Source organism: Homo sapiens, chromosome 8 (assembly GCF_000001405.40).
Source record: "Homo sapiens chromosome 8, GRCh38.p14 Primary Assembly".
NCBI lineage: Eukaryota > Metazoa > Chordata > Mammalia > Primates > Hominidae > Homo > Homo sapiens.
Window position 1 is genome coordinate 66,478,998 of NC_000008.11, and position 13,648 is coordinate 66,492,645.

At 43.2% G+C, this 13,648-nt stretch overlaps 1 pseudogene, besides 1 other annotated feature; it reads left to right on the plus strand.

Moving 5' to 3' along the window:
• On the plus strand, window positions 2,030–2,489 carry LOC100131770 (TAF9 RNA polymerase II, TATA box binding protein (TBP)-associated factor, 32kDa pseudogene; annotated as a pseudogene).
• Window positions 6,710–6,869: an enhancer, noted in NCBI's record as "active region_27481". NCBI's record gives its function as "activates an Ori minimal core promoter by ATAC-STARR-seq in GM12878 lymphoblastoid cells {active_cell/tissue: GM12878}" and the evidence as "EXISTENCE:reporter gene assay evidence [ECO:0000049][PMID:35858748]".

The following is a 13,648-nucleotide window of genomic DNA, read 5'->3' on the forward strand; positions in this document are numbered from 1 at the left end:
ACAACCAGTCTTATTTCTTTTTCTTACAGATAACCTGATTTTTCATTGGCTAAAGTCTCTAATTTTTTTGAGAAAATAAATGTGAAGCCTGCATGCCCCCAGATACTCAGCTATAACCAATGAATGATGACACCAAGGTCTCTTGCCTGTTACATCCTGATATAAAACCAATCTGGCAAAAAGAAAAAAGCATCCAAGGTCCACTTTTAAAAGTCATGGTCAGACCAGGCACAGGGGCTCAAGCCTGTAATCCCAGTACTTTGGGAGGTCAAGGCAGGAGGATGCCTTGAGGCCAGGAGTTCAAGACCAGCCTGGGAAACATAGTGAGACCCCATCTCTACAAAAAAATTTAAAAATTAGCTAGACAAGGTGGCACATGCCTGTAGTCCCAGTTACTCGGGGAGCCAAGGTGGGAGGATTGCTTAAGCCTGGGAGGTTGAGGCTGCAGTGAGACATGACTGTGCCACTACTCTTCGGCCTGGGTAACAGCGCGAGACCCTGTCTCAAATAAATAAATAAATAAATAAATAAATAAATAAATAAATAAATAAATAAATAAAAATTTACGGTCCATAGTCCATTGAGAATGTTGGGAGGGCAGCCTGGGGGATCCACAGAACTGAGGAACCTCCTTTTACAAATCAGTGTACAGAGAACCCACTAGCTAAACCAAAGAGGAACAACTTTATAAGAACAGACAGCTATTTATCCACACAAAAGAAAATCTTCCTACCAGTAGTAACGCTATTAACATCTCAGCAGCTTTTCCATTATAAATCTGACATTTCCTCCTTCTTCAAAGCCTAGTTTGAGTGCTTGTGATTTTTTGAAATGAGATAATAAAGCCATCAACACACAATAAACGCTATGCACTATCTATAATCGGGGGTCTCCAGAGTATATTTTATGTTAAAGAAAATATTGAATTACTAGGCCTTTCTTTTTAAATCCCTTAAAGCCTTCAGCTTTAGAATGAAAGACTCAAACTCTTCTCTGGGATCTTAATTTTTATGTGGCTTCTTATTACTTTTTTATCCCTTCTAAAACTCTAAATCCCTTCAACATAGCTTTGGCCCCTTCCACAGCTGAACTGGCAGCAGGCTGATCTTTTTATTGGTGGGTAATGGATTTAGTTTGATTGCTGACACGGGAACAATGAGAGGATAAACAATTCCATTTGTGGCCATGAAATTTCCCATCTGTTGAGTGCGTTCAGGACTGCAGAGCACTGGGCAGAGACAGATGAATGAGCCCGCCACGCCTGATGTTAAGGACATCCGTCATACAAGCTGAACATGTGGCTTCATAAATCAACAGCTAATAGCAACTCTGGTTGCTCCTGTCATTAACAAGCCATCCGTTTAAATACATAAGAGTTTGCCATAACATTCAGCCTAGAGACCTGACTTGCAATTCTGATCTCACCAAAAAACCAGAAGTAGTAAAGAAAGCCAAAAAAGCATAAGTAAAAAAAAAAAAAAAAAGTTCAGATCCACACTAAAATACTTACAGATGTAATCATACGATGTCTGGAATTGGTTACAAAATAAAATGGGATGAGGGAGTGGGTGGACACATAGATGAAAAAGCTTGGGTGGTGTGTAGATTAGGGTGTGTGAGCAAGGCACTCAAAGCCATCACAGCGAGGAACCATGTTGCTTCCAAACATCCTGCTCACCAGTAAACCAGAGATTGGAAAAACACACTAGGCAAAAAACCATCAAAATCAGGACTGAGGCCGAGCGTGGTGGCTCATGCCTATAATTCCAGCATTTTGGGAGGCTGAGGCAGGCAGATCACTTGAGGTCAGGAGTTCAAGACCAGCCTGGCCAATATGGAGAAACCCCATCTCTACTAAAAATACAAAAATTTGCCAGGTGTGGTGGCACATGCCTGTAGTCCCAGCCACTCAGGAGGCTGAGGCAGGACAATTGCTTGAACTTGGGAGGCAGAGGTTGCAGTTTGCTGTCATGGCACCACTGCACTCCGACCTGGGTGACAGAGTGAGACTCTGTCTCAAAAAAAAAAAAAAAAAAAAAATTCAGGACTTAAATACAACATTAATGTGGGTGATTTAGCCCAAGAAGAGCAGTTGTATGATGGCTATGATGAAGAGTATGATTGTCCCATTTTAGATGAAGATAAAGAGTAGTTGATGAGTTAGATAACCAAATGACAGAAGGTAGAGTTATTGTTTATTACCATGTTGGTGACTTCTTCCCTGAACACTGGCTTCATATATTACAGTTTTTGTGCTGAGAACAGATACCAATGTACTGTATGAAAGACTTGAAGCAAGGGGTCATACTGAGAAGAAACTAATAGACAATACTCATTGTAAGATTTTTCAAGTTCTTTATTAATAAGTCACAGCATCCTGTAAGGAAGAAATTGTGCATCAGCTGCCAAGCAATAAATCATAAGAGCTAGAAAATAATATAGATCAAATACTGAAATGGATTGAGCAATGGACCAAAGATCCTAACTCTTGACTTATAAGACTAGCTACTTTACAATCATTCTTATTGATATCTCTTTGCTGACATCATAGAAATTGTTCAAGAATAAGTAACACTGTATTAAAATCATGTTGCAGGGCTCACCAGTAAATAGTATAAAGGTGGTCCCAGCTACTCAGGAGGCTGAGGTGAGAGGATCTCTTGTGCCCGGGAGGTGGAGGCTGCAGGGAGCCAAGATCACACCACTGCACTCTAGCCTGGGTGACAAAGTGAGACCGATCTCGAAAATAAATAAATAAATAAATCTAAAGACAAAAGATTTTTTTTAAGTTTGGCAGTGAGTTGATAATTGTTAAAGTTCAGTGATAAGTAACTGAGGGTTCATTGTACTATATGCTTCACTTTTCACCTTTGTATATATTCACAATGATTCACAATGAAAAGTAAAGCATAAAAGATAACATTCAAAGATAACTGGAAAATGGTAGCTTCTTTTTTTTTTTTTTTTTTTTTTTTGAGACAGGGGCTTGCTCTGTCACCCAGGCTGGAGTGCAGTGGCGTGATCTCGGCTCACTGCGGCCTTGATCTCCTGGGCTCAGGCAATCCTCGCACCTCAGCCTCTTGAGTAGTTGGGACTACCTACAGGTGCCTGCCACCACATTTGGCTAATTTTTGTATTTTTTTGTAGAGACAGAGTTTCACCATGTTGCCCAGGCTGGTCTTGAACTCCTAGGTCTAAGCAATCCACCTGCCTTGGCCTCTCGAAGTGCTGGGATTACAGGTGTGAGCCATTGTGTCCAGCCTATTGTTTAGCATAAGCATTTTTGCCTAATTTTATCTTTTTTTCAAAGAAAATGAAAAAAATGCTTATATAACAGTTCAAACATTTAACGCTTGTTTCAAAAAAATACATTATTAAATTTCACCCATTTCTTTGAACTTTTAAAGTGTGAATACGATACCACTTTAAGTTAGATACGTATGGCTGGGCATGGTGGCTCACACCTGCAATCCTAGCACTTTGGGAAACCAAGGCTGGAGGATCCCTTGAGTCCAGGAGTTCAAAACCAGCCTGGGCAACATAGCAAGACCCCCATTTCTACAAAAAATAAGATAAAAAAAATTAGGCATGGTGGCACATGCCTGTGGTCTCAGCTACTTGGGAGGCTGAGGTGGGAGAATCCCTTGAGCCCAGGAGTTTGAGGTTGCAGTGAGCTGTGATCATCCCACTGCACTCAGCATGGATGACAGAGCAAGACTTGCTCAGTGATAATAATAATAATAATAATAATAATAATAAGTTAGCCATGTGTCTGGGACTGTATTTCTATGGAATATGCCGCTCTAGAAGTTCAGCATGAGCTAGGAAAGAGTAAGGGTTGCAAGCCACCTTGAAGGAACTCAGAGGCTGTGCTGGCCCTTGGAGTCAGCAGAAAAGGGACAAGAGTCACTTAGCATCCCCCCTTGACTATCTAGGGGCCATCTCAAACTTCCTGGGTACAAAACTGAGCGCCTGATCTGTAATGGACGCCATAGTCACTACCCAGATTCTCTGGGACCAAGGCACCCTTTCCCCAGCTGCTGAGAGTGTTGGTGACTGACAACCCAACCCCACTCCAGAGCTTGATTTCCATGGAGAGCCACCTTGCCTGAGGCCTAACCCTTCCCAGAACTGCCTCCACTCAGCGACAGTCAGTTAGAAGGTCAAGTATGAGACCTGGCTGACTTGCCCCATTGGAGTAACTCTGAAGGGCCTGCCCAACTTCAGAGTTGCCCCATGGGGTTGGTTAAGTCCCTTCTTGGGACCAAGTGGCTACCCAGCAACTTCCTCCACCACATCCTTCTTGTTCCGTTTCTCTCTCAGGTATTGATCACAAGAGCACTGGCCAGCAAACCTCCTGCATGCTCATTTCATCTGGTTCTGCTTCCTGTGAACTTAACCTGCAACATGATCTTCCTCCCAAATCTTTTCCTCTTTCCATTTTCCGCTGGTGCCATCTTTTACTCCTGTCTTTCTCTCACACCCGTAGCCTAGTATGGGTCAGAAATCCTGTTGGTTCTACCTTCAAATTATATCCATAATTTGACCAGTTTTCAGGGCCCCTTTGCCATTGCCCCCGATCTGCGCCCCCATCCTCTCTCACTTTGGGTGTTGTGATGGCCCCCCCAGCTACTCTCCCTGCTTCAGCCTTGCTGCCCTTGAGTCCCTTTCAGCAGAGTAATCAAAACAGAGGTCTCGAGTCAGGTCATGTTGCAGCTCTGCCCAAAGCCAAGTCACTCAGAGTAATGACTAAATCCTTACTAACCCAGCACGCCTGGGATAATCCTAGTTTATATCTGTTGTCCCAGCATAATTTTAACAGTGACCACTTAGCCCCATTTGGATTACAAATTATGTGGTCACCCTACCTCCTGCTACCTCTTGGAAATCACCTCCTACTACCATCCCCGTCCCCACTCACCCCATTCCAGTGACTCCAGAATAGTCCTCAAAGAGATAGAAAAATCCCTGCCTCCAGGCTTTTGCGCCAGCTGTTTCCTTGCCTGAGATGCTCTTCCCCAAGATACCTGCAGCTCCCTCACGCCAAGAAAGCCTCTTTTTTTTGTTGTTTGTTTGTTTTTTTGTTTGTTTGTTTGTTTGTTTGTTTGAGATGAAGTCTCGCTCTGTCGCCCAGGCTGGAGTGCAGTGGCACGATCTCGACTCACTGCAAGCTCCGCCTCCCGGGTTCACGCCATTCTCCTGCCTCAGCCTCCAGAGTAGCTGGGACTACAGGCGCCTGCCACCACGCCTGGCTAATTTTTTTGTATTTTTAGTAGAGACGGGGTTTCACCGTGTTAGCCAGGATGGTCTCGATCTCCTGACCTCATGATCCGCCCGCCTCGGCCTCCCAAAGTGCTGGGATTACAGGTGTGAGCCACCACGCCCAGCCCAAGATCACCTTTTTAATTAGGTTTATTTTCCAGGCCACCCCATTTAAAAGTTCAAGTATCCATGCCAACCCCTCATATTCTCTCCTCCTTGCTTTATATTTTCTCCTTTTTTTTAAACCTTATCACTCTCTAATATGCTTTATATTCTACTTACTTATCTTGTTTATCACCTGTCTCCCTCAAGATAAAGGCCAGGGATGCTGCTACACATCCTAAAATGCACAGGACAGACTTCACAGCAAAGAATTAGCCAGGCACAGTGGCTCACTCTGTATTCCCGGCATTTTGGGAGGCCGAGGCAGGCAGATCACACTTGATCCCACGACTTCGAGACCAGCCTGGGCAGCATGGTGAAACTCCATTTCTACAAAAAACACAAAAATTAACCAGTGAGTCACGATCGTGCCACTGCACTCCAGCCTGGGTGACAGAGTGAGACCCTGTCTCAAAAAAATAAAATTAAAATAAGTTGCTTAAGGAATTATTTGGCCCCAAATGCTGATAGTGCTGCAATTGAGAAATCCTGCCTTAGACCAATCACTAAGCTTTTCTTGGCCTCACTTTTCCCATCTGTAAAATAGTGATACTACTACTGGGCCTAGTCATACGACTGTGAGAATTAAATAAAATAGTGAAAGAGGCCAGGCGCGGTGGCTCACACCTGTAATCCCAGCACTTTGGGAGGCCAAGGCAGGCGAATCACAAGGTCAGGAGATCGAAACCATCCTGGCTAACACGGTGAAACCCCGTCTCTACTAAAAATACAAAAAATGAGCCGGGCGTGGTGGCGGGCGCCTGTAGTCCCAGCTACCCAGGAGGCTGAGGCAGGAGAATGGTGTGAGCCCGGGAGGCAGAGCTGGCAGTGAGCAGAGATCGCGCCACTGCACTCCAGCCTTGGCAACAGAGCAAGACTCCGTCTCAAAAAAAAAAAAATGGTGAATGAAAGACTCATAGCATAGTGCTTGGCACATAAGTGCTATTTTTTTTAAAGGATTATTAAGTTCAGGCTGTGTCTGATTGTCTCAGTCATTGCAGAGCCTAACAAGTAAGTTTTAATTCTGCTCCTTCTCAAGCCCTGGCCGCATCTTCTAACACATGAGCATCCCTGGTTGCAGAAGAATGAGGCAGGTTCATTACCAGAGCCAGAAAACTCACTGCAATAGGCTTGCCTGATTTAGCAAATAAAAATACAGGATGCTCAGTTAGATTTGAATCTCTGTTAATAAAAAAATAATTTTTAGTATAAATATGCCTCATGCAGTATTTGGGACATACTTATAACTTTTTAAACCTATTTTCTATTTATTGTAAAGTCAAATTTAACTGGATATCCTGTATTTTTTCTAACAACCTGACATACCAAGCACCTGCTCTCTGATTAAAGGAGTTCTCTTCACAGACAAAGAACATCACTTTGCATAAATTAAAGATTGAAACCACCTCTCTTTCCCTCAGAGGAACTGAAAGGAGAATGTTATGCTTGCTAAAATTACAAATATATCTCCAATTTCACAAAATAAGCCACTGAAGATTACACAACAGAGGCTTCTCAGAGGCCCACAGCCCGGTGCCCCACTAATCTGCCAAAACTGGTACTCTGAGATGGTGGATAGCCCAGGTTTTGGAGTCATGACTGGCTTGGGTTAGAGACTCGCTTTCGTAAAACCATGATAGGAGCACCTTGCACGGTTGTTGTAGGGCTCATGTATAAAGTGCCTGGTACATAGCAAGTGTTCGACAGTAACATTGTCAGCATCTTGTCTGGGTTTGACCCCTGTGAGGTGATGGATGAACACTGTACAGCATGAGCCAGGAGGCCATACATAGGCCATCACTCATGTTGAGAGCTGCCACCCCTCTGCTCAGCCACTGAATCAGCACCCTATGGGTGCTTTTAAAGCCACATACTTCTGGGAACCACTCCAAGATTTTGGAATTAGAAAGAATGAGGCTGGGATCCAGGCTTGTGAATGTTTATCAAGATGCTCCATTCACCAGTGGTGAGGATAAGCATCCCCTAAAGAGCTTGTTTAAACAGACGCTGGGCCCTGTCCCACAGTTCCTGCTTTGGCAGACGGGATGGGGCCAAGAACTCGCATGTCTAACAAGTTCCCAGAGATGCTGATGCTGCTCTCTGGGGACAATTTGAGAATTACTGTGCCACATCCGTGGCTCTCAACCCCAGCATTTTTTTTTTTTTTTTTTTGAGACAGAGTCTTGCTATGTTGCCCAGGCTGGAGTGCTGTGGTGTGATCACAGCTCACTGCAGCCTCAACCTCCCGCAACCCTAGCATATTTTAACCACCAAAGGTGTTTTTAAATACCTGTGCCTGGGCCCTTAGTAACTGGATTTAAATAGTCTAGGGGAGGACCTGAGCTGCTTACAATTCTAATGTATCCTGGTCAGGAACTTCTGCTCTCCTTAAGGCAATTCTGCTCTAACTCCACAGTGTGCCCAGGACCAGTCACACTCCATCCCAGAACTTCAGAACCAGAATCTGCATTTTGACAAGATCCCCTGGTGATTCGTACCCATGCTAGAGTCTGAGCGCTGCTTAGGTTTCAGCCTAAAGGTAGCTTCCTCAGACAGGGCTTTTTTTTTTTTTTTTTTTTTTGTCTCACTCTGTCGCCCAGGCTGGAGTGCAGTGGCGCAATATTGGCTGACTGCAACCTCCACATCCTGAGTCCAAGGGATTCTCATGCCTCAGCCTCCCGAGTAGCTGGGATCACAGGCACGCACCCAGCTAATTTTCCTATTTTTAGTAGAGACAGGGTTTCACCATGTTGGCCAGGCTGGTCTCGAACTCCTGACCTCAAGTGATCCACCCACCTCAGCCTCCCAAAGTGCTGGGATTACAAGCACGAGCAACCGCACCCGGCCCAGACAGGGCTTCTTCTAGTGCCTTTGGTGGGCTAGATCTTCAGAGCTCTCAGGCTGGAGAAGGAAACACAGCCACTCTCTGGTCAAGCAAGTGGCAAGCATCTTACAGAGAATCCTGGAAAGAAAGAGTCTCCCACTGTGGCCAGGCACGGTAGCTCACACCTATAATCCCAGCACTTTGGGAGGCCAAGGTGGGAGGATCACTTGAGGCCAGGAGTTCAAGCCTAGCCTGGGTAACATAGCAGGACCCTGTTTCTACCAAAAAAAAAAAAAAATTTTTTTTTAAATCAGCCAGGTGTGGTGTCATATGCCTGTGGCTCCAGCCTCCAGCTGAGGCAGGAGAATCACTTGTGTACAGGAGTTCAAGGCTGCAGTGAGCTGTTACCAAACCACTGTACTCCAGCCTAGGCAACAGAACAAGACCTGTCTCTAAAAATAAAAATTAAAAAAATTAAAAAAAAATAAAGTCTTCCATTGACATCAATTGACTGTCCTTTCTGTAAATGTAGAAGCCAAATGTAAAAACAGCAGTAAGTGAGCACTGGTGTGCAGTCAGCATGAAACCCTCAGCAGTGAGTTCCCTGGACCTGGGAAAAGAGGAACCCAGATCAGAACAGAGTTGACCTTAGGCTTAGCCTCATCCTGGACAGGAGCTGTCACCAGTACTCACAGGTGTAGCATATACTTACTGCTGCATATGGGTTACACTGTTTGCATTCCAAAATGAGGCCTCAGCCATCCACCTCTCCACGAACTGCAAAGCACCTGGGCTAAGACGACCCTAATTGTCAAATACGATCAAGATTCTGGGCTCTGAGCACAAAAGCCAAACAAGATCATTTCGGCAAAAAATTAAGACTGATAATATCAAATATTGCCAAGGGTGTAAGGAATAAGCCCCTCATGGCCTATTACTGAAAGTGTCAACAGATGAAGAAATTTTGGAAGGCAATTTGGAAAAAAAAAAAACCCTCAAAATTTAAAACATGCATATGCTATGACCTGCACTTCTGCAGCTAGTAATGTAACCTATAAAAATATTAGAAGACATGTATAAAGATACATCACAAGGGTGTACTTTGCTGCATTGTGTCTAATTTTAAATAATGGAAGTAAGCCATGGATCTATCAAGAAGAGTGGATAAATTTCTATAACACAGTGATCTCCTACATATCTGCTAAAAGAACTATAAATGTCCACACACATGTGTGTGCATAGTGTGACTCCATTTCTATTGTTTAAAAATCTCATTCATGTATATGTAAATATATGTGTGACTAAGCATGAAAAATATCTGCAAAAAAACCTCCAATCTGTAAACAATGATTGCTTTTAGGAAGTGATACTAGGTTGGGGGAAGTGGGTTTCACTTTTTCTGTATACTCCTGTATAATTTTTGAGTTTGTTATAATAAGTGTGTACTATTTTTACTATTTAAAAAATATTTCAAACAGGTAAAAATGATCTCTTGAGAACTGTTTCTCTTTTTTTTCTTTTCTTTTTTTTTTTTTTTTTTTTTGTTGTTGTTGTTGTTGCTGAGGCTGGAGGGCAGTGGCACAATCCCTTTATGCTCTGTCTCAATCCCCATTGCAGCCTTGACCTCCCAGGCTCAAGCGATTCTCCCACCTCAGCCTCCCAAGTAGCTGGGACCACAGGCACGTGCCACCATGCTCAGCTAATTTTTGTATTTTTAGTACAAACAAAGTTTTGCAGTGTTACCCAGGCTGGTCTCGAACTCCTGGGTTCAAGTGATCCACCCACCTCAGCCTCCCAAAGTGTTGGGATTACAGGTGTGAGCCACTGCAGCCCGCCAAGAACTGTTTTGCTCTGGACATGCTTCTTCACATTATTGAGCCTGTTTCAGGCTCAATAACTGTGATTGATTAAATTTGGGTTTTCTTAGCTAACACCTAATCCAGTCTAGATCCCTTGGAATTAAGTCCAAGTAATCCTGATGGGCTTTTGGGTTTCCCTGAGTGTTCTTAATTTCAGTTTAGCATCATGTCTTTGAAACGTTGTGTCTTTTAGGCCCTGCCCTTTAATATTGGCTATATTAAGCACGTGGTTAACCAAAACCCTAGATTCCTTTTTATTAATTTGCTGCTAAAGCATGTCACCCCCATTCTGTACCAAATCAATTATTTGTGTTAATGTAAAGATAGATGATTACATTTAGTTTTGTTAAATTTCATCTTGTAGATGTTGGTACAACAGTCCAGTCTGTTAAAACAATTTTAGATCTCCACTTCTATTGCAGTAGGTACTCGTCTAAACTTTACATTATCTAAAAATGTATCACTGGGGAGATCATAAAATTTATAGACAGCAGGCACAAAGAAGACTTTTAGACGCTATCCTTTTTATTTATTGTTATTATTATTTTAGAGACAGTGTTTCACTCTGTGTCCCAGGCTGGAGTCCAGTGGCACAATAATGTAATAGCTCACTGCAGCCTCGAACTCATGAGCTCGAGGGATCCTCCCACCTCAGCCTCCCAAAGTGTTGAGATTACAGGCATGTGCCACTACACCCAGCTAATCTTTATTTTATTTTATTTTATTTTATTTTATTTTATTTTATTTTATTTTATTTATTTTATTTTATTTTATTTTATTTTATTTTGTAGAGAGGTCTTGATGTGTTGCCCAGGCTGGTCTCAAACTCTTGGCCTCAAGTGATCCTCCCACCTCAACCTCCCAAAGTGCTGGGATAACAGATGTAAGCCACCACACCCAGCCCTCCTTTTTAGTTGAAAATGACCAAAACCTATGTACACTTAAGCCAACAGGAACTTTATCAGATGGAGACTGAGCTATCTCACTATCTCACTGACTCCAAGATAGGCATGGCATTGGCCTGAGAGAGGTAAGGCGGGAGACGTGCAATCCTCCCTCCCTCCTGAGCTGGGCCTCTTTATTCTCTGTCTCAATCCCCAACACCCTTTCTCACTCTCCCAACACTCCCTTCACCCACAGTCCACCCTCCCATCCCACTGGCCCTTACTGGCGTGTGTACATGACCACAGACCCACCAAGTATGGACCATGGTAAAAGCACTTGTGCCCGCTTCCAGCTAAAACTCTTTACACTGGATGTGCATTCAGGCCCCAGGCCTCTGCCAGACCACCAGTTTCACTTATTTATACTGACTTCCCTTCAATTTTACCCCCTGGGCCCTGAGAAACATCCCAGATATTCAGAGTTTACACCTTTCCTCTGGCCCCAGACCAAAGCCCAATTTCTGTTTCCACAAGGCAGTAGTTTGGGTTAGATGTCCACTGTGGTCCAGACAAAGGTGGCAAGAGGACAAGTTCAAGGAGAATAAACATGGCTTCCCAGAGCCATCCTCTGTGACTGGGTGCAATTCTCAAAGAAAGAGGTATATAATATTGACGACTACCTGATGAGTAAATGCCTCAATTTGTTTACTATAGAGATATCAATGGATGCCAACTCCAGGTCTAAGACATATGGATCAGGTCCACTCAAGTTCAAAGTAATGGAAGGCTTTGCAGTGGGAAAGTTGTCAGAATCAAAATTGGGTCACTTATGTCAGCCTTAACAAAATAGAGCCAGGAGGTCATGGAGGTAGGGGGAGGCTCTCAGGCATGATTTGCCTGATAAAAGGAACTATCACAGGAAATGTTATCAAACCATAGTTTGCTACATGAGTCACACAAAGACAGCTAGCGGCTTGTACAAGAACACTTGCCTGACACACTGTCTCCACTAAAGAACTGACAACAACTCCTGTCATAAACCCTTGTAACCAATGTTCTGTTTGTTTCAAAACAATCTATATGTACTCTTTTGCCTTTAAAACTTCCCCTTACCTTAGCCTCCCTGGATGTGCCTAAGATTTGTCATAGCATCTGTGTCCTGCAATTCCCAATTAAACTACATATTTTTAGAGAGCTTCTCTCTGTTATTTGGGTTGACAGGAGATAAAGAATAGAGTAAAATTTACTGGTTAAGTACTTTTTCTTTTTGAGATGGGGTCTGTCTCTGTCGCCCAGGCTGGAGTGCTGTGGGGCAATCTTGGCTCTTTGCAACCTCTGCCTCCTGAGCTCAAGCAATCCTCCCACCCCAGCCTCCCGAGTAGCTGGGACCACAGGCACACACCACCACGCCCGGCTAATTTTTTGTATTTTTGGTAGAGATGGGGTTTCGTCACGTGGCCCAGGCTGCTCTCAAACTCCTGAGCTCAAGTGATCCTCCTGCCTTGGCCTCTCAAAATATTGGGATTATAGGCGTGAGCCACTGAGGCTGGCCCGGTTAAGTACATTTGACTTTGGAGTCAAACTAGGGATTAAATCCTAATTCTACCACAAACTAGATATTTTAATCTCACAAGAGTTACTCAGTGGCTTTATGCCTCAGTTTTCTCACCTATAAGATGGCAAATATAATAGCTAGTCTTATTGGGTATTCGTAGATATTAAATGAAATTATATATCAGACTACCTAACTTATAGCAAGCATTTAATAAGTGGCAACTCTCATTATTATTATTTCATCACCATCAGTATTAGTATGAAGAAATGAAGCTGTAACAGTGTAATAAAATGCAGTGGGTTTGGCATGATACATATGTTTCAACCATAACCTTATTTGTGTGTATATACATAGAGAATATATAAAATACAGGGCATACATAGGATATCATATGCATATGATATCGTATATCTAGCTGCCCTGAGATTTTGTTTTCACCTGTGTCTGTAGCAATGGCTTGCTGTCACTTCCATTGGTGTACTGGACTGTTGGTACTGAATTAAATGAGACAGGGAGTATTTAGCTGCTCTCGCCTTCCCTCTGATGGATTGTTTCTCAGTGATTGATGTTTATCCTTGTGCCTCTTTCCCCCCTCCAAAAAAATCAAATACCATCAAAACCAAGAGTCCATCAGACCCCAGAGACCTGAGGATAAACCGTAGTAAGGCAGCACGTGACTGTCCTTCCCCTCCTGCCTAAGACGCCACGTTAAGGAAACAGTCAAGGACAATTTCACTCACCCTTGGAAGGAATCACGGTGGTGAAAACTTCTATGTTCTCGTCACTGCAGCTGTAAATCTGATGCATCATTTCAGCCTCCTCTTCCCAAAGTGCCTGGGAACTGGAGGCCTCTGTCTCTGGACCCCTAGTCTCGAGGCATCCTAATCCAGTCCGGCTCAGGGATCATTGTACATGTATCACATATACGATATCATATATACAGATGATATATATGATATCATATAAACACATGATATATATGATATATATACACATGATATATATGATATATACACATGATATATATGATATTATATACACATGATATATATGATATATGGAACAGTATATAACCTGTGACCTCTATATGTAGCATAATAGG